Source organism: Homo sapiens, chromosome 1, assembly GCF_000001405.40.
Source record: "Homo sapiens chromosome 1, GRCh38.p14 Primary Assembly".
Classification (NCBI taxonomy): domain Eukaryota; kingdom Metazoa; phylum Chordata; class Mammalia; order Primates; family Hominidae; genus Homo; species Homo sapiens.
Window position 1 is genome coordinate 201380833 of NC_000001.11, and position 19054 is coordinate 201399886.

At 54.9% G+C, this 19054-nt stretch overlaps 1 protein-coding gene and 1 long non-coding RNA gene across 2 annotated transcripts in view, besides 2 other annotated features; one reads left to right on the top strand and one right to left on the bottom strand.

Annotated features, from left to right (window-relative positions):
- On the bottom strand, window positions 1-18492 carry LAD1 (ladinin 1). Its single transcript, NM_005558.4, has 10 exons — window positions 18437-18492; window positions 8328-8471; window positions 5503-6346; window positions 4869-4973; window positions 3960-4003; window positions 2485-2557; window positions 2242-2379; window positions 1821-1907; window positions 1420-1494; window positions 1-1061 (listed from the first exon to the last, which is right to left on the bottom strand). Exons 1-10 carry the CDS (start codon window positions 18472-18474, stop codon window positions 1056-1058), a joined length of 1554 nt encoding a protein of 517 aa, NP_005549.2. The 5' UTR covers window positions 18475-18492; the 3' UTR covers window positions 1-1055.
- Window positions 8397-8897: an enhancer, noted in NCBI's record as "H3K4me1 hESC enhancer chr1:201358357-201358857 (GRCh37/hg19 assembly coordinates)". NCBI's record gives its function as "activates a minimal SCP1, AML or CMV promoter by ChIP-STARR-seq in naive H9 embryonic stem cells {active_cell/tissue: H9 hESC(naive)}" and the evidence as "EXISTENCE:reporter gene assay evidence [ECO:0000049][PMID:30033119]".
- Window positions 18188-18850: an enhancer, noted in NCBI's record as "H3K27ac-H3K4me1 hESC enhancer chr1:201368148-201368810 (GRCh37/hg19 assembly coordinates)". NCBI's record gives its function as "activates a minimal SCP1, AML or CMV promoter by ChIP-STARR-seq in primed H9 embryonic stem cells {active_cell/tissue: H9 hESC(primed)}" and the evidence as "EXISTENCE:reporter gene assay evidence [ECO:0000049][PMID:30033119]".
- Window positions 18659-19054, top strand: part of LOC101929343 (uncharacterized) — a 6879-nt gene continuing 6483 nt past the window's right edge. Inside the window, exon 1 of the long non-coding RNA XR_241172.3 lies at window positions 18659-18958. This is a non-coding gene — a long non-coding RNA (uncharacterized LOC101929343). The remainder of the gene's footprint in view (window positions 18959-19054) is intronic.

Sequence of the window (19054 nt, forward strand, 5' to 3'; positions counted from 1 at the left end):
GAGAGTTCTAATGATTTAAATTTTTGAAAAGTTGTAAACCACAGCTTTAAGGGGTTAACAGGGCACCAGGCTGATGTTCCTAGCTTGGTTGGTTCTAGATTCTCTGATGGTTCACCATGCTCCAAGCTCATAGGAGCCATGAGGTCCAGAGCATGGGGGTGGGGGTTGGAGGGGGCTTGTGGGGAAGGAGGGTAGGCCTGGCCCTGTATGTGGCAGTTCCCAGTCACCAAGCTAGGACTGCTGAGTGGCAAGCCACCACCTTAATGTGAGAAGAGGGGGGATGAGGAAAATGATGATCCTCCTCACACACTTCAGGTGACCTCTGCTAGAAAGCAAGGCCTCCAGAGAGGAATTCGCTTCTAAGGTCTCATCAGTCTCTTACACCTGAGAGTAAATGAGTTTATCAGATCCTTCCTGAGAACAGGTTTTTCAGAGAAAGGGTAAGTGGTTGCACACAAAAAGGCACTTAGCTCCTGGCCATGGCAGCCGGCCAGGGAAGGGAGGGGAGAACCAAGCAGGGAGACGGGGCACAGGGAAGACGCACGGCAGCTCCTTCTCCCCTGGCCAGAGCGGGCCTCAGTGGCTGGGAGCAGGCCCCAGGGACAAAGATGGGTGGGTCCAGGCCTCAGAGAAGGGGGACATCATAGACAAAGAGGCACTTGCTGGGAGCCGATGAGACAGGTGACTCTGGAGTTCTTGAGGGGCGCCGTGCCCTGACTGTGGATGTGAGCAGGAAGGAGCAGAGGTCTCTGGGCAGGACATAGGCCCCATAGTGCTGATGTGCACTTGTGCTGTGACCTGGGCAGAGACTGGGTCCCAGCATCTGTTGTGCCTGCCGCAGGGTGAGAAAGTCCCAGCCCCAAGAGGCTGGGCTGGGAAGGAGCTGGCTGAGTCTTGCAAATATTCCTGACCCCAGGGACCCTGGCCAAACAGATCCACAGGCAAAAAGGGAACAGGGACAATGAGAGGAAAGGGTGCTGCTGTGAGAGGCAGGGGCCTGGCATGAGGGAGGTCCCTTGAGACGAAGACTTGCAGGTCTGTCTTGGCGGGGCTTGTCACACCTGTGGGGCAAAGAGCTGTTAGCACAAGTCAATGGGGTGTCAGGGATGGAAGGGGAAGGGGGCCACTGGATAGGAAGGCATCCCTTTGCCCAAGCCCCACACCCACAAGGAGTCAGAGCCCTGTAATCTGCCAGCTGAAGAGGGAGGGGCTCTGCAGAGCTGCAGGCAGCACAACCAGGTGAGGGCTCAACCTTGTTCTCACGGTTGGCTCAGACCAATCTGCATGAGCAGGGATGGGGGCGTTCTGGGTGGACTGCGCGATTGCAGGCCAATTAGTGTGTGCACACGGGGACGATGGGGTCTCCCACAGTACACCGTGGCCCTCCGCCGTAGGGCCAGGCTCCTCCCCACCATTCACCTCAGCGTCCAGCGAGGAGTCAGATTTCTGTCCCCACTGAGTCCTCTCGGTTGCAGATGATGCTTTCTGTGCCTCCTGATTGAGGGTATCAGGGTGGAGACCAGAGACTAAGACCAGGCTCCAAAGGGCTCGGGATACCCCAGGCCCAGCTCCCAGCCCAGGATGTCCTTTCTCTTCCCAAAAGAGAAAAGGAACCCAGACCCACCCCTCCTCTCTGCCAGAGTCTGACCCACACACCCATCTATTCCCGACTGCCTCCACTCCTGAAATGACTCCTCCTCTCCCGAAATGACTCCTCCTCTCCCGAAATGACTCCTCCTCTCCCGACTGTCCCTCCTCTGTCCCCAGTCATCCCACCACAAAGGCTCCACAGTAAGAGACATCAGGGAGGGTGAGGATACCTGGGGGTCCTGATCTCCAGATTCCTGGGTCCTGCTGATCCACAGGTTGAGCCTTGATGTCACAACCCCTGAGAGCCTCAAGTTCTCCTAAAAAGAGAACTTTCCATCTCAGGGTTTAGGGCCCTTGGCAGCAGCGAGGCATGTTCAGAGGCCCTGGAATGGGATAGGACTCTCCCTCACTCCCCTATGCATCCAGCACATGCCACATATACCTGGGACAGCCCCCTCCCCTTCCCCCAGGGAGCTGTGTGCCCAGCTAAGGAGATGGGCTCAGGAACGTGAATGGGAACTCAAATGGAGGTTCTGCCAACATTAATTGACACATGAAAACAGTTTTCTAGCATTGCCACAGCCAAGATTTGGGTTTTGGAGACGTCAGGGCTAATCACCCTAAGGACCCTGTGGGGCCTGAGCCCCTCACCTTCCGGCTGGAGGCTGGTTCTGCTCGGCTCTGGCCCGCCAGTTCCTTCTCAAAGAGGTGGCGCTTGCTGGCTACACCCACAGGAGCCACGAATAACTCAGTGCAAGGCAGACCCCGAGACTTGACAGATTCTGATCTCTGGGAACCAAGAACACCAACAGCTGACCCATGCTGGGGAGGGGAAAGGGCCATGCCCACTACTCATCCTGCACCCTCCGCCCCTCAGGAGAAGCCCCCACCCACCCGTATGGCCGTGTGGTATCTCTCCAGCTTCTCTCCCAACTTCACTGTGTTGTCTGGGAGCTTCATGCTGGCACTGCAGGATGGAAGATGGAACAGGCGAGCCAAGTGAGACACCCAGGGAGACCAGGCCTGCCCCCAGGGCCTGAGGAGCAGCCCCATCACACGTTCTCATTGTGGCCAAGAGAATGTGGCCCTCCATCACACAGCAGGCTGTGTTGACTTGGCCAACATGAGGAACTTACAGACGCCAGGGATTTCCCTCCACTTCCAAGAAACGTCCCATTCAATAGGACATCCCTTCTCCCCCATACCTTGTCATTTCCACTGCAAAACACCTCCCAAAGCAGGTCCTTCCTTTCCGTCTTCCCCATCACAGCAATCGCCACTTACCTGCTCTCCCAGCCTGCCACCGTGAGCTCTCCACATGGCTGCTCCTACCTCAAATCTGATCCTGTCCTTCCAGCTCAGACCCCATAGGCCTTGGCACAGCATACAAGGCTCTAGTGATCTGGGCCCTCCCCTTCCCTCCCCCACAGTATGCCTGTGTGCCAGCCAGCTGGACACCATGCTCTTCACTCTGCCTTTTTCACATGCTGTTCCCTCTATTTAAAATGCTATTCCTCCAGTTTTACATGAGCAAACTTCCTGCTAGTTCATGGAAAATCAATTGCTCCATGACACCTTCCCCAGCTCTCACAGGCTGAGCAGGTGCAGCTACTCCTGAGCTCCTAGCCCTGGGTTCATATTCCTGTGTCCCTGTCCCTCCCTGGTTGGCCAGTATGTAATGTTCTCATGTTTGAGAGAGCTGCTATAGGTTTGCTGGGTGGGTGTGAGTTGCTTGAGGACAGCAGCTGTGTCATTTGTCTTTGTACTCCTCCTCCTCCACCCCCACCCCAGCCCCCAGGCCTAGCCTAGTGTAGTAGGCTCCAGTAAATGTTCATGGGGCAGATGAATACAGCATGAGTGGATGACATTCCTAATACATAAGCACATCTGCTTCTCAGATCCTATTTCAGTTTTGCTTTTTTTTCAAAGCATAGTCCTCAGGCTTCTTGCATCAACACCAGCGAGCCCAGGAATCCTTGTTAAACCTGCAGACCCACAGCCCCCCAACCAGGCCTGCTGGAGCAGGGGCTTCCCCTCCCTTACACTGTTCGTGGTCTCCCTCCCAGAAAGCCCCCTTTCCCTGTCCTAACCTCAAGGCTAAACCCTCATCCCCCTTTGGGGCCCCACCCAAGCCCTGCCTCCTCTGAGCAGCTCTCCCTGATCCTTCCCCATCCTTGTTCCATCTTATCCCGCCTGAGTTCATCCTGTTAATCCCATCCCCCTGCCAGATCTGGAGCCCTGGGCAAGGACTGCACCTTCCCCTCATGTGCCCTACCGCACAGCCTGGCACAAGGAGGGCGGGTGCAGGTACTCAGAAAATAGCCTGAACATGGCCAAATAGAAAGAACCAGAGCCTCCAGGCCCCCCACCTGCGAGTTAGGGTTGTTTCCGAGTTTTCTTTCTTGGGTTTCATCTGAAATGAGAAGGAAAGGCATTGTTGTGTGGGAGTCCCCGGGAAATCGGTGGCCCCCTCGAGTGAGGAGCCCAGCTCTCAAGACATGTCCTCCTCCTCTTCAGACCTCCCACCCCTTCTACCAGGGGTCAACCCCACCAAAGAAATATGTGGACAAGCCTTCGTTAAAGATCCTTGTTTGTATCTGGAAGACACAGGTTCCCACCCACTAATATGGGTCAGAAGACTTTCTTCAGACTTCCTTCGCAGGGCACCTGTAACCACCTGTTTCCTATCTGCCTCCCACTGCCCATGAGCTCTGTGGGGGCACCAGTCGCTATTGGGCCACCTCTCCAGGGCCTGGCACACATTAGAGGCATGATACCCAATGATTGAGTGAATGACCCAGTGAACAGAAGAACCAAGAATAAACACCAGGACAAAGCAAGACGAGATTTCCCCAATCCACATAGTTTGTACTATTGGGAGAGTGGCAGGGCAGGGAGCAGTAGGAGAGCCTTGCTGCTCTCTGTTCCTCCCCTCCCCTCCTAGACAAGTCTCCTAGGTGAGGCCAGGAACTGATGAAGGCAGGTGTGGACCTCCCTGCAGCCCAGGGCCAGCCCTGCCTGTCCGGTCTTCATGCAGCCCTGGCCTTGCCCACTAGGTGGGGCTGCTCATGCTTACTGGCACCTACCCCCCAGGTTACTAACCTGTTCTCCTCTGCTGAATACAACCTTGTTTGTTCAGGGCCACCCATGGGAATCCAAAGCTCCTCTCTATCCAGGGGACCTTCCTACCTAACCTACGGCTCCTATGTTGTAATGGATGCGGGCTTCCTCCACTTGCCCTCCAGTGGCTCGCAGACCAGGGTGCCCAGGGCTCTCACCCGAAAGGAGATGGTCCTGGGGCTGGAGCGTTTGAGGGAGCTGCTGTAGGTTCGCTGTGTGGGTGAGGACATATCTGCCTCTTCCTCCTTGCTGGGGATTTTCACCTGGATGGAGCAGGGGGAGTGTCACATAAGAGGTCTAGGGCCCATCAAGCCGGGGCAGCCATAAACCCCATGGCTCACCCCAGGAGCTGCAGGAAGAGGGGAGAATGAGACAGCCCTGTGCCTTCTCTCCTGCCTCCTTCATCTGCTGTGGGAGTGGCTCACAGACAAAGTCCCTTGGGGCCAGGGCACCAGGCAGAGCTTTCCAGGGGAGCTTCTAGAAGGATCTGAGGCTCCCCACTAGTCTGCCGGGGTCCTGGAGCCCAGGCCCTGGATGAGGATATGGTGGGGGGCACCAGATGCTCCCTGCCCCACAGCTGGTGCCCCTTTAAGCTCCAGCAGCCTGCCCCATCTCAGCCTCCCTGCTCTGACCATGGCTAGAAGCAGGCAGGGAAAGAAGAGACTTCCAAGGCCAGCCTGCAGGTAGGAGGATGGAGGCAGCCAGGGAACCAGGGACTACCTGGGTGGGACTGGCCGGCAGTGCCAGCCAGGTGGCAGAGTAGAAGGGTGGGAGGGACGGGACACTGCCAACCTGGAGTGTGACGGGTGGGAGGCGGGAGGCCACAGTCGGAGGGTCTGAAGCCCCCTGCTTTGCCAAAGAGGGCAGGTTCTTCCCAGGGAGGGCCCTTCCTCTCTGCTCCTTGGTGGTGGCTGGGCTTCCCCCAGAGGCTGGCGGCTCCTGCGCCAGGGGCTGCTCTGAGGCTGTGGCCCTCTTTGGGGCCGGCTTAGCATCTGCAGTTGGGCTCTTCTCTGAGGCCAGTGCCTTCTCAAAGATGGAAGCTTTCTCAGACACCAGCCTCCTTCCTGAGCCCAGTGCCATCCCTGGGGCCAGCGACTTCTCAGAGACACTGGTTTTTTCTAGAACAGACTTCTTCTCTGAGCTGTTTCTTTTCTCTGACACTGCTATCTTCTCTGATAGAGATGTCTTCTCTGAGGCCAGCACCTTCTCAGAGATGGAGGTTTTATCGGAGACCAGGCTCTTTTCAGGTGCCGTCTTCTTTGGCATGGAGGACTTCTCCAAGACTGGGGACTTTTCTGGAACCCCTTTCTTCCTCTCTTCTGGCTCCCTGCCCACCAAGCTCTCCTCCTCCAGGGCCCAGGGGCCCCGCTGTTCCCGACTCAGTCTCCGGCGAGGTGGGATTTCCAGTTCCTTCTTGGAGACTAGGGGTTTCTGTGTGGCCTGCACAGGGCTCAAGCTGTTCCTCCCCTCCTCTGCCTCCAGCCTCTCCTGGATGGGGGCCTGTGCAGCCTCCACCACCTGCCGCCTCTGCCTCCGCTCCTGCCGTGTTCTGAGGATGCTCTGGATGTCCTCGTCCTCATCTTTGGAGGCTGGGGGCAGTGGCTTGGGCACCTCTGCTTCTTCCACGCTCGGTAGTCTGAATCAGAAGATGGGAGACAGAATCAGAGGATAGAGGTGGAAGATACCCTAAGTATACCTAACCCAATGGAGATGCTGCCAGGGCCACCAAGGAGGAGGTGAGGATGTCAGGCCCTGGCCTCCCCGGCTCACCACCACCTTTATCCACTCGATATATTGCACTTCCAAGGTATCATCTGAGCAAAGCACACTATGCTTTTTAAAAAGCTTATAAATTCCTATGAAGTCCAACGACTCCATGTTCAGACGTAGTCAACAGACTCTGAATAACTGCTTTAATATGTGCCAGAGCCTGCTTGGGGCATTGGGGATCAAAAGGAATAAGCACAGTCTCTGCCCCTTAGATCTTAGATCAAGACTAGAGATGTCCAGGGATTTTGTCAAGGTCACACAGCTGATTCGTGGGGGAGCTGGGAGCAGAACCTAAGTCTTCCGATGCACCATTCCACACTCCTGTCAGTCTTGTGGGTGCAGCCAAGACTAGGTGACAGCCACAGGTACTGGTGCAGCCCAGCTCTGGACATCCTCCAGAGTCTGCTGCCGGGCAAGGCTGGGGGAGGGGAGGACAGGAGAGGAGAGGGTCATCACAGCCCTGTTCTCCCTTCTTGGGGGACCCAAAGAAACAAAAGTAACATGAGAGGATTGTCCATAACCCACAGCACCTGGCCTCCAGCAAAAGGAGATTATTTTCCTTCCTCATCACCCTGCTCTCCATGTGCTTTCAGGCAAGTTAACTTACTGTCGGAGCCTCAGTTTTCACATCTACAAACTGGGCTTGTTAGGAAGCAAAATGAGACTCATGAGGGTGCCCAGGACAGTCCTGGCATGTAGGTGGCATTCAGTAAACCCCAGGCTCTTCCCCCACCTCATAATCCCAAAATCTAGATGGCAAAACTAGCCCCAAGGTTCTTCTCCTCAGAAGTAAATTATAGGCCGGTGCAGCGGCTCACACCTGTAATCCCAGCACTGGGAAGTTGAGGCTGGTGGATCACCTGAGGTCAGGAGTTCAAGATCAGCCTGCCCAACATGGTGAAACCCCATCTCTCCTAAAAATACAAAAATTATCCGGGCATGGTGGCAGGTGCCTTTAATCTCAGCTACTCGGGAGGCTGAGGCAAAATAGCTTGAACCTGGGAGGCGGAGGTTGCAGTGAGCCAAGATTGCGCCACTGCACTCCAGCCGGGGTGACAGAGCAAGACTCCATCTCAAAAAAAAAAAAGGCAGCTGGGCACGGTGGCTCATGCCTGTATTCCCAGCACTTTGGGAGGCCAAGGCAGGTGGATCATGAGGTCAACAGATCGAGACCATCCTGGCCAACATGGTAAAACCCCATTTCTACTAAAAATACAAAAATTAGCTGGCTGTGGTGGTGGGTGCCTGTAGTCCCAGCTACTCAGGAGGCTGAGGCAGAAGAATTGCTTGAACCTAGGAGGCGGAGCTTGCAGTGAGCTGAGATCGCGCCACTGCACTCCAGCCTAGCGACACAGCGAGACTTCGTCTCAAAAAAAAAAAAAAAAAGAAGTAAATTATAGAGGGTCAGGGTTAGAAGAAGGCAGCCTGGATAATGGAAGGAGGCGGGAGCTTGACAGATCTGGATGGACATTCTGGCCCTGCCACTCTTGAGGTACGTGACCTCAGCAAGTCACCTAAGTACTTTTCAACCCTGTTACTCCACCTGTAAAATGGGTTAACAATACCTCTCTCTCAGGGACATTGTGTGGATTACGTGAGCTATGGCCATAAAATGTCCAGCACAGTATTGGCTCATGGATGGTCTACAAATAGTAGCAAGCATTGTTATGAAGAGGATGGAAGCTGGCAGGACTGAGTCTGGGGAAGGTGGGGAACTGGAAATTCATCATCACACCCTTCAGCCTCATTTCCTGGGCCCCAACTCCCTGAGCAGACTGAATATGCTGCACTTAGTCTGAGGCAACCAGTCCATCCCCATCCATCAGGATAGAAACCTGAGCACCTACCTCTCAGAAGCAGAGGCCTGCCGGTCTCCATTCTGGCTGAGCCTGGGAGCCTCATCGTCCGTGGTGGAGCTCAGGTTGCGGTGCCGCCGCCTGCGCTCGCGCTCCTGTTCCTCCTCATCCTCCAGAGTCCTCTGCCGGGCAAGGCTGGGGGAGGGGAGGAGAGGGTCAGCACAGCTGGGGAAACCCAGGACCCTCCCGAGGCAGGCTCCTCTAGGGCTGGGAGAAGAGACCAAATGCCCTCTAGGCCTGCACTGGCTACTAGCAGCTCAGAAGTGCTTGAAACGTGGCTGGTGTGAACCAAGGCATGCTGTGTGAAATACACACTGGATCTTGAAGACCAGTGAAAGGTCTCATTAAGAACTATGTACATCGGCCAGGCGCGGTCGCTCATGCCTATGATCCTAGCACTTTAGGAGGCTGAGACACGCGGATTGCCTGAGCTCAGGAGTTTGAGACCAGCTTGAGCAACATGGCAACCTCCATCTCTACAAAAATACAAAAAAAAAAAAAAGATTAGCCGGGTGTGGTGGTGCACACCTGTAGTCCCAGCTACTGAGGAGGTTGAGGCACGAGAATCACTTGAACCCAGGAGGCAGAGGTTGCAGTGAGTCGAGATTGTGTCACTGCACTCCAGCCTGGGTGACACAACAAGACTCTGTCTCAAAAAAGAAAGAAAAAAATTGTGTATATTGATTGTGTGTTGAAGTGGCAATATTGTGGATATATTGGGGTAAATGAGCTATAATATTAAAATTAATTTTGTTTTTTCCTTTTTTTTGAAACAGGATCTCGCTGTGTTGCTCAGATTGGAGTGCAGTGGCACAATCACAGCTCACTGCAGCCCCAACCTCCCAGGCTCAAGTGATCCTCCCACCTCAGCCTCCTGAGTAGCTAGGACTACAGGTGTGCACCACTACACCTGGTTAATTTTTAGATTTTTTGTAGAAATGAGGTCTCACAATGTTGCTCAGCTGGTCCTAGACTCCTGGGCTCAAGCAATCCTCCCACCTTGGCCTCCCAAAGTGCTGGGATTACAGGCATGAGCCACTGTGCTGGGCTGCTTTTTACTTTTTTAATGTGACTACTCAAAAACTTAACATTTTAGGCCGGGCGCGGTGGCTCACACCTGTAATCCCAGCACTTTGGGAGGCTGAGGAGGGTGGATCACCAGAGATCAAGACTTGGTGAAACCCTGTCTCTACTAAAAATACAAAAAAAAAAAAAAAAATTAGCTGGGCATAGCGGTGCATGCCTATAATCCCAGCTACTCGGGAGGCTGAGGCCAGAGAATTGCTCGAACCTGGGAGGCAGAGGTTGCAGTGAGCCGAGATAGTGCCATTGCACTCCAGCCTGGGCAAGAGTGAAACTCCATCTCAAAAAAAACTTAACATTTTAAATGTAGTTCAAATCATACGTCTATCAAATTCCTAGTAAAGCTGCAGGGCTTTGGATTAGACTGGGGTTTCTCCAGCTCAGCACTGTTGACACTTTGGCCAGACAATTGCGTGTCCAGGGCTGTCCTGGATCACAGGACGTTTAGCAGCATCTCTAGCCTCTACCTGCTGGGTGCCAGTAGTACATGCCCCAGATGGGACAACCAAAATGTTTCCTGACATTGCCAAATGTCTCCTGGGGGGCAAAGTCACCCCACATAGGAACCACTGGGTTGAACTGTACTCTGGACCCCGGGATGAGAATGGGAGGGCCTCCATCACCGGGGGTGACTAGGAACGTGGAAGGGCGGGCCTGGTCCTGCCTGAAGGAAACAGATGAACTTGCCAAGTGCCTTTCTCTTTTTGGTCCTGGGATTCTTAGGTAATATCCATCAGTGGACAGTCATGGAGATATTTCCTCACTCAATTCCCCATGGAATTTCTTAGCTTTTGGGAAGGGAAGACTTACAAACAAAACCATTTACCCATGGAAAAAACTCCAATATCGCCTTCCTTTCACTTCCCAGGGGCTCTTGGAGCCTCCCTCACCTTTCAGATGGAAAGAGCTTCGTGGAAAGAGTTGAGCCATGGAGCTCCACAGATCTGGATGAAAATCCAGACAACTTTCACTTCTCTGGGGAGCAAGGGGACCCCACACTCTACTTTTGGTTCCTGCCCCAGTCACCCTTCATTCATGGGGCCAAGCAGGCATTCTACAGCCAGCCAGGCAACTCCACCAGTCTATCCATCTACTACTCGCCCACACATCCATGTACTCAGCCACTCAGCTGTTTCCACCATCTTTATCCACCTGCCCTACCTACCACCTCCCACCAGCCCATCTTCCATCCACCCCACCCCTTCCAGTCCAACCAAACAGCAAATGAAAACTGAATGACTATGACAAGCCAGCACCATGTCAGGAACTGTGTGGGCATCACAGAACATGGCAGGGTCTCTGCCCTGGAGATATTGACAATCCAGTGAAAAAGAGAAGTGTGTCCACCAATAACTCCCCCAACCAAAGTGCATAAGTTGTTCTTCAGTGTGAGAGAACAGATGCTATAGGCCAAGATTATCAGAAAAGGCTCATGGAAGAGATGAACCGGGCTGCATCTCAGTGAACAAACAGGCTTTCGATGGGGTGGGGCTGGCAGTCCAGGCAGAGGGAAGGTACCGAGGTTCAGGGTTTGCTGGGGACAGGAGGCTGAGCTTCACCCCGGGAGACAGGAGGGGGTGTGAGCAGGGGAGTACCAGGCTGTGAAAGTCAGCTGGGGGAGCCCTTCTCTGTGGTTCCCCCTGCATTGTCTGCAAATCAGGTTAAAAGGTTCTAGAAAAGGCCTCTTTCTTCCCTCCCAGAGTTATAGCAACGACTGCAAGGCCTCCTCTTGCCACTGCCAGATGCCAAACTCTCTACCCTTTGCTGTCCCAGCCTCTCCTGCTGCTCAGCCCTAGTTCCCACTGAGCCTGTCTCCTCCACAGGGAGTCTGTGGTAAGGCAAGGTCAGGTGATCTGGTTTCTAGTCCTCCTGCCCTTTGGCAAGTTACTTCCTTTTCTCTTCCTCAGTTTTCCCTCCTAAAATGAGAAGGATGAACCACATGAACCGCTCCGATTTTTTTCTAGGTCCAGCATCCCCTGGATTGAGCCAATATTCACTAAAAAATTACTTTTGAGGACCTACTATGTACCAGGCACGATTCCAGGGGCTGGGAACAGCTGGGAATGAGACCAACAGGGTCTTCCCCTTCACAGGGCACACATCCAGCATGGGGGAGTCAGACCATGAGCAAGGAAACAAGCCCATGAACAAAATGACACCAGCTAAGTGTCACTAGGACAAGGGAACAAAGTAAGTGACATGAGAGAAGGTGGCTGGGTGGGAAAGCCCCCTCGGAGAGCCCTGGTTCATGAGGAGGAGGCAGCAGAGCCAGATCCGTCAGCCAGTGTTCCAGGAGGAGGATCCAGCCAGTGCAGAGCCTGCATGTGAGGAGCTGGGTATTCAGGGGAAGACGGGAAACCAGGGCCAGAGTGGCCCACAGGGAAGCTGGAGAGGGAAGCAAGGCCAGAGCAGAGGGCCTTGGAGACCAGGGAAAGGACTTGGGTTTTATTCCAGGTGTGCTGGAGAGCCCTGGAGAGTGTTACACAGAAAAACAACATGATGGGATCGCTCTATTTTTAATCTCTCTGGCTGCTGTATGAAAAAAAAAAACATTGAAAGGGCCAGGGGAGAGGGGAAACAGAGGACCCGTCAGAAGGCACCTGCAATCCCATAGGCGAGAGCTAGAACTATGGTGGCTTGAACTGGGGTGGGGACAGAAAATATGGGGAAAAGTGATAGATTCGGGACATGTTCTGAAGATACAGCCACCAGGGTTGACTGTTGGATTGGATGTTGGGTGGGAGGAGGGAGAGGAAAAGAGAAAAATCAAGAACTGCTAGATTTTGGGCCCAAGCTATTTCTGGAGGGCCATTAATAACATGGGGAAGACCAGGGGAGGAAGGAGTGTGGTGGGCTGTTGGGTGGTAGTGGGGAGGGACAAGAAGGAGATGAAGAGCTGTGCTTCTGGCTTGTTCCAAAGGAGAAGAAACCAGCGAAAGGCAAAGATCAAGACGTTGCAGCCAGGGAGCTGGAAGGAAACCAGAGGAGGGTGTTGGCATGAACAGGGGAGTGAGGGCCCCAGTCAGATGCTGCTGCGAGGGGAATGAGACCAAGACAGAATTGTGAGCACAGAGGCACCAGATACCACAGGAAAAGCAGATGCCAGGGCTGTACCAGAGCCTGAGCAGGCTGGTGGGGGTAAATGGAAACCAAAAAAGGAATTAGTGAGTATCAACAACTCTTTTGAGAAGCAAATAGCATGGAACAGTAGTGGCTGGGCACAGTGGCTCATGCCTGTAATCCTAGCACTTTGAGAGGCTGAGGCAGGTGGATCACCTGAGGTCAGGAGTTCAAGACCAGCCTGGCCAATATGGTGAAACCCTGTCTCTCCTAAAAATACAAAAATTAGCCGGGCATGGTGGCAGACTCCTATAATCCCAGCCACTTGGGAGGCTGAGGCAAGAAAATGGCTAGAATCCAGGAGGTAGAGGTTGCAGTGAGCCAAGATCACGCCACTGCACTCCAGCCTAGATGACAAAGTAAGACTCCATCTCAAAAAAAAAAAAAAAAGTTGGGACAGTAGCTAGAGGAGGATGTGGGCTCAAAGAATGCTTTAAGTTAAGGTATAATTTACATTAATGTACAGATCTTAAGTTTTGCTTTTTTTTTTTTTTTTTTTGATGAGCAAACAAAGGAGAGAGTGGAGAAGGTCTGAGAGGGTTGAAAAGAGTGTGACTGGCTGGGCATGGTGGCTCACGCCTGTAATCCCAGCACTTTGGGAGGCCAAGGTGGGAGGATTACTTGAGCCCAGGAGTTTGAGACCAGCTTGGGCAACAAAGTGAGACCCCCATCTCTATATAAGTGAAGAGTGATTGAGTTGTCCTGCAGTGAGAGAAACAACCGCAGGATAGGGTGTCTCATCTCTAGTGCCCAGTACGGTGCCCGGCACCCAGCAGGTGCTGACAAATGTGGAACAGCAAGTAAGTGTCAATTTCAGGGGTGCTGGGCTCTCCTCCTCCCTAGAAATTACAAAACTTCTGCCTCGATGCCGAGGCGCACAAAGGGGGAACAAAGCCCACTCCTCCCCCAAAGGCAATCTGCCCAGCTGTCTGCCCAGGGAAGGCGAGTGCCTGCCCATCACCCCAAGGGGAAAGGAAGTGCCTTTGGAGGAGAACCTTCCAGACCCTCCCAATTCTGCCAGCAGGGCAGCTCTTCCTGGTGAGAACCTCAATCCCTCCTGTCAGTCACACCTCTACTTCCTCAGGGGAGATGGAGAGGCGCCCAAATCAAACTATCCCCCTATGGCCTTGGCCACGGAACTTAAACAAGATTCCCCTGGGCCTCTGCATGACTGCTGTGAGCTCTGGGTATTTGTAGATTGAACATTCATCATTCATTCATCCTTCATTCACTACACACAAACAGATGCTCTCTTATAAGGCAGGCTCCAAAGTCCCACCTCTCCTTGGTTTTCTTATTCAGATTTAGAAACGCCAACTTCTGCTGGCTTACACGTGAGGCCACACCTCCAGCTCCCTCCTCTGGATGCACCCCGTCCCTTGTCCATAGCCTGGAAACAGCTCTTGCCCTCCAAAGCTGAGGGATCCAAATACTGGGGAAAGTGGCCCACAAAGCCCAGAGTGCCTCTCCCCTGACCACACCCACAGCTGGCTGAGCTGGAGCCTCCAGGGTTCCTGGGTCTTGAGCCACACAGCTCCCACATGCCACCCTCAGCCCTTGGGGAAGTGGCCTATTTGTTTATCCTCCTGTGGGGCCCTGGATGGTGCATGAGCACTCAGAGCCTGGTCTCCTGGGGGTCTCCAGGGCTCAGCTGCAGGACTCAGAACCCAGGGATCCTTGAGTGTCCCCAAGCTTTATACTAAGACCCCATAGCTCACCCAAGGTGATGTGGCCACCGCCCCTGCTGCTTGGGAATCATGGGGCTGCCTTCAACCCTGACACCTGGCAAAACATGAGTCCCTTCAGCAGCACCACCCCACCCTGGGGAGAAATGTTATCTCCAATAAGCACAAGTTATGAGGATAAAAATGGAAGGGAGGGAAGGGCAAAGCCCAGTCCCCAGGAGGGGACTCAGTGGGTACAGCTGTTGAAACCCCAGTAATAAATTAAAAAACTGAGGGCTCAAAACAGTGTTAGGCACTTCTTGAACATGGTGAATAACTAAAGGAATAAGGGGGGAAGTGAGCACACTAACGTGGAAGTGCTTACTCTAACACCAGTCACTGTTCTAATACCCCTGGCATTCATCTTTACAACAGCCACTGGGTGCGGTGGCTCATGCTTGTAATCCCAGCACTTTGGGAGGCCAAGGCGGCCGGATCACTTGAGGGCAGGAGTTCGAGATCAGGCCGGCCAACATGGTGAAACCCCATCTGTACTAAAAATAGAAAAAAAATAGCTGGGTCCGTGGTGGCGGGCGCCTGTAATCCCAGCTACTCAGGAGACTGAGGCATGAGAATCACTTAGAACCCAAGAGGTGGAGGTTGCAGTGAGCCAAGATCATGCCACTGCACTCCAGCCTGAGTGACAGAGTGAGACTCTGTCCATCTCGTATATAAAGAAACTGAGGCTCAAAAGAGTTAACAACCTTCCCACGATCGCACAGCTAATAAAAACAAGAAACCAAGATTTAAACCTAGGTCAGCCTCTCAAAAGCACCTACGCTTAACCATCATACCAAGTGCCAGAAAAGGTATGGCCAGGGAGGGCTGGCCCTAACCCAGAGGGAGCTCAACAGCTGAACCTTCAAGGGAGGGAACAGAGGCCCAAGAGGGCATCTGAAGGTGTGGTATTCCCTACCCCAGGACAGGCTGGGGCCCAGGGCAAAGCCTGGGAGCCTGGGAGGGCAGAGGTTTGGGGAAACCCCGTGGCCCATGCAACATTGACCTTCAAGCCCCAGAGCCAGGCCCAGGGTGAAACCTACAGGCCCGAACAGCTGCGGAGGCTCAGCTGCTCCTACTAGCTGAGGCCACAGCCCCAGGCAGCTGCCTACCACTCCTTCCCTCTAGACAACCCTTTCCCCCACCTCCTGGCCTTCATCTGGGGACACATGTCCCTCTCGGTGTCTCCATGTAATGCTGCTATCCTCCTCCCCACTCCAGACTTCAACTCCATCCTTTGGGGATGGGGATCCTCTTTTTCTCTTAAATAATTCTAAAGGACATTCTGCCGTTACTCACTAGAGAGCTTGTTTTGACCTCTACCCTGGGAACTTTCTTCCTGAAGTCTAACTTCCATCTATTCTGCAGCAACTGATGGCAGGGATTTAAGTGAAGTGGTTGTTAAAAGTCATATTTAGCAGTACAAGCCATTTTCCCAAATTGAATCATAGACAGAAGCCCATTATACAACAGATTAAGGCTCAGCTGCCCTGCTTAAAGCTGGGAGAGGGTGAGAAGGCTGCCCCAGATGCATTTTGTGGAACCCTGGGGCTCAAGGAGCATAATTTGCAAATCTTGGGGACTGGGGTTAGGGAAGGGAGGACAGAGGAGGGTTGGGGGATCATGCCCATGACCTTGGCCAGTCTCCTGCACCTGAGCAGGGCAGGCCTTAAGTTCCCCTTCTGCATGGTCACTGTGGGGGGTAACTCAGGTCTCTTCCAGCCCCAAAGGTCTAGGGAGAGGTGTCTGGAGAACCCAGGGCAGCGATTGGAAGTAGGAGGGCGGCTCAAGGCCCAGGCAGGGAAATGATTAACCACTGGCTGTTCAGTCCCAGGCACTCTCAGATCCACCCCTCACCCCCTGCAGACAGGCCTGGCCCAGCCTCACTGGTCACCAGGCCAGTCCGGGGAGAAAAGGACAAGGCCTCTGACCAGGGCACCCAGCCAGCCAGCTCACCACTGCCCCCCCAATCCCAGGGTTGGAAGACTTGAATCTCTGCTCCATGCCAAGGATGGGCTGCAGGCTGGCCCCCAGCTACCCACCCACCTCTCCATCCACCTCCCCACCTGGGACCGTGCTGTCACACCCTAGCACGGTCCTCCCCAGCCCAGGAGGCTCTGTTGACAGTGACTCACAGCCCTTTCCTGCCTGCCCGCTGAGGCTTGTTCACCCAGGGAGCGGAGCGGGAGCGGTCCTCTGTTCCAGGTGCCTCATCAGGGTGACTGTTGGCAGCAGCTGCGTCTGCCCACAGGGCTCTATGAGGGCTGGGACCCGGCAGGGAGGGCAGGCCAGGGGCCCCTGTGGCAGGACTGTTCCCCAGAGCTTCCTGGCACTTACCCTGGACATCTTGTGGGAACTTGGCTGTAGCCACATGAGTCCATGTCCATCTGAGCAGTGGACAAGCTTAGGCCAGACCTTGCTCCCATTTTCAAAGTTCCAGTGCCCCAGCTGCCTCCCCACACACACACACCCCCCCATGCATATCCAGGCATGCTTTCAGACACAAAATCACATATATCCCACCAGACTATGAACTTCTGAAGAAGGAGTGTCTGGTTTGTATTTTTAACCCAATGCACAGTACTGAGGTCTTCAATAAACAGTTCAACTGAACATATGCAGACTGACAAACTCAAGACTCAGCAACATAAGAACCAGCTCCCCACACAGATGTGTCATCTCTTCATAGGCCATAAACACACTTGTCCACAAGTATGCCACACACACACACACACATAAGCATACATTCATAGGCACAGGTAGGCCCACATCTAGAAGCAAAGACACTCCCACATCAACCCCCAGGCACACTGACCCACATGCAAAGTCCAAGACCTTGACTCCTCAGCCGCACCCTCAGCATAGACCTTCCTCTATAGCAGCCTGGGTTTCTTTTCCAGAGCACTGAGTTCCCTCCATTCGTGGGGCTTACCTTTTCCCCTCTCTAGAGCCCATGGGCTGCCCACAGTGCTTCAGAGCACTGTGAGGTCTTGAGGGTCTGGGGAGGTGGCCCCCCAGTCCCAGGCGATGAGCTGCTATGGAGAGGCTAAGCCTGAGACAATGAGGTAGTTCTGGAGCCCTTATTAAGGGAGGGCAGGAGCGGGGTAGAGGACATACTAGAGCACTGGAAAAACCTGTGAAAGATGCCTTGCTGGGGAAAGCCTACAGGACCCAAATGGCTGGAGGGTCTGCACCTGGCAGAGATAGCCCTGGCTCAGGAAAGGCCAAGACCCAAATGCCCACCTGGGAGGAGCTAAGAGGCTAATATCTACCTGGCTAGAAAGGGATCAAAAGAGCAGGCTCCAGCTCTGGGCTACCGCAGGAGCCTCAGTTTCCTTAGGGACAAGATGGGGGACGGGGGCGCCCAGTGGAGGAATGAGGTGAAAATGCTCACAGGGGGCCTTCTTGGCAGAGGTGCAGGGTCGCTCCAAGAGAAGTCGCTAGAGGTCACCAATCTCCATGAGGGGTGCTGCCTTCTGAACACCCGCCTTCCCCAGGCCTCTCGGACCCTGATGGGATGTCCAGCAGGCAGGGGTAGGATGCCTCATCCCCGACCCTTTAGGAGACCAGTGTACAAGTAAAGATTGCAGCAGCACAGATGGGGATGGCAACTATCTTAAGGTTCCCAGCCCAGATGCCACCCCAAAATGCCATGCTGAGATTCTGAGCGTCCTTAGTGGGAGACGGGTCTGCTTCCCTCCAGTCCTCTTCACTGACCCCTCCAAGACGGCTCTCCCTGCTCCCCCTCCCAAGAGGGGCTGTGGGACACCTCCCAGGGGTCCTCTCCGCCAGAGACACACGGGGGCAGTGAGAGAGGCTTCTCTCAGGAATGAGGCTTGGAGGTTACTCCTGAACACCTCCACAATCCCCCAAAACGTTCCTTCCTGCTTCCACCTTCCACAGGGGGGGCCATATCCCAGCGGGCGTCCAGACTGAGGACCAGCCTTCCCCTAAGCACCCTGTGTGGGGCCTCAGGCCCCGAGGGGAGAAGACCCACCCTGTAACCTCAGGGGTCCCGAGTTTGGCCCCAATCCTGTCTCCCGCGAGTCGCAGCAAGACCAGGATCCAGCCTCAGTGTCAGGGTCCCAGGCGGGGAGGAGGCCGGTGCCCCGAGGAGAGGAGACCCAAAGGCTCCCCGCCGACCCCCCGCCCCTCCCGGCTCCCTCCGGCGCTCACCTGGACAGCGCGGACCAGTCCTTCCTGCTGACAGCCATGCTGCAGGAGCCCCGCGTGGCCGCCCGCGCCCCGCCGGCCGCCGCCTCACCTGGCGCCCCTCCCCTTCCAGCCCAGGTGGGATCACATGGCCGCTTATCTCACCCCCGCGCGCCCCGGCCGCGCTCCGATTTGCCGACCCGGGAATGGCCTCTGGGATGTGGGCGTCCCAGACAAAGCCGCATTGATTGCAGCCCAGGCCGGCCCGGCCGCGAGGCCGCAAGCACTGGGTGGACCGTCGGACGGATCGCGGGACCGAACGACGGACGCCCGGGGCCGGCGTGGGGCTGGTCGGCTGCCCGGGGCGAGGGCGGGAGACTTCCTGCTCAGAACCAGTCCGACCAGCTTGGCGCTGGGACGCCTCCCCGCGCTGTGCCGCGGCCCGGGGTGCCGAGGAGCTGGGCTGGGGGCGGGGACCCCTGCCGGGAACCCGACTTAGCCCGGAGACGCTCAAGAGCAAGAAGCCGAGCGGAAAAGTTAGCGCAGGTACTGTGATCTCGGGTCTAGAGCGCCCGCGCCTTCGGGGCCCCTTCGCAGGGAGCGCCCTCCCCACTCCCTGGCTTCGGAACCCACCCGGGCCCA

Excerpts from the sequence above, each read along its gene's own strand:
- LAD1 (NM_005558.4), bottom strand. The coding sequence starts at position 18,474 with ATGGCTGTCAGCAGGAAGGACTGGTCCGCGCTGTCCAG. Across the intron at positions 4,004-4,868 it reads CCAGGACCATCTCCTTTCGG|ATGAAACCCAAGAAAGAAAA; the intron begins GTGAGAGCCCTG and ends TTCTCATTTCAG. Across the intron at positions 2,558-3,959 it reads GAAACAACCCTAACTCGCAG|TGCCAGCATGAAGCTCCCAG; the intron begins GTGGGGGGCCTG and ends TCCATCCTGCAG.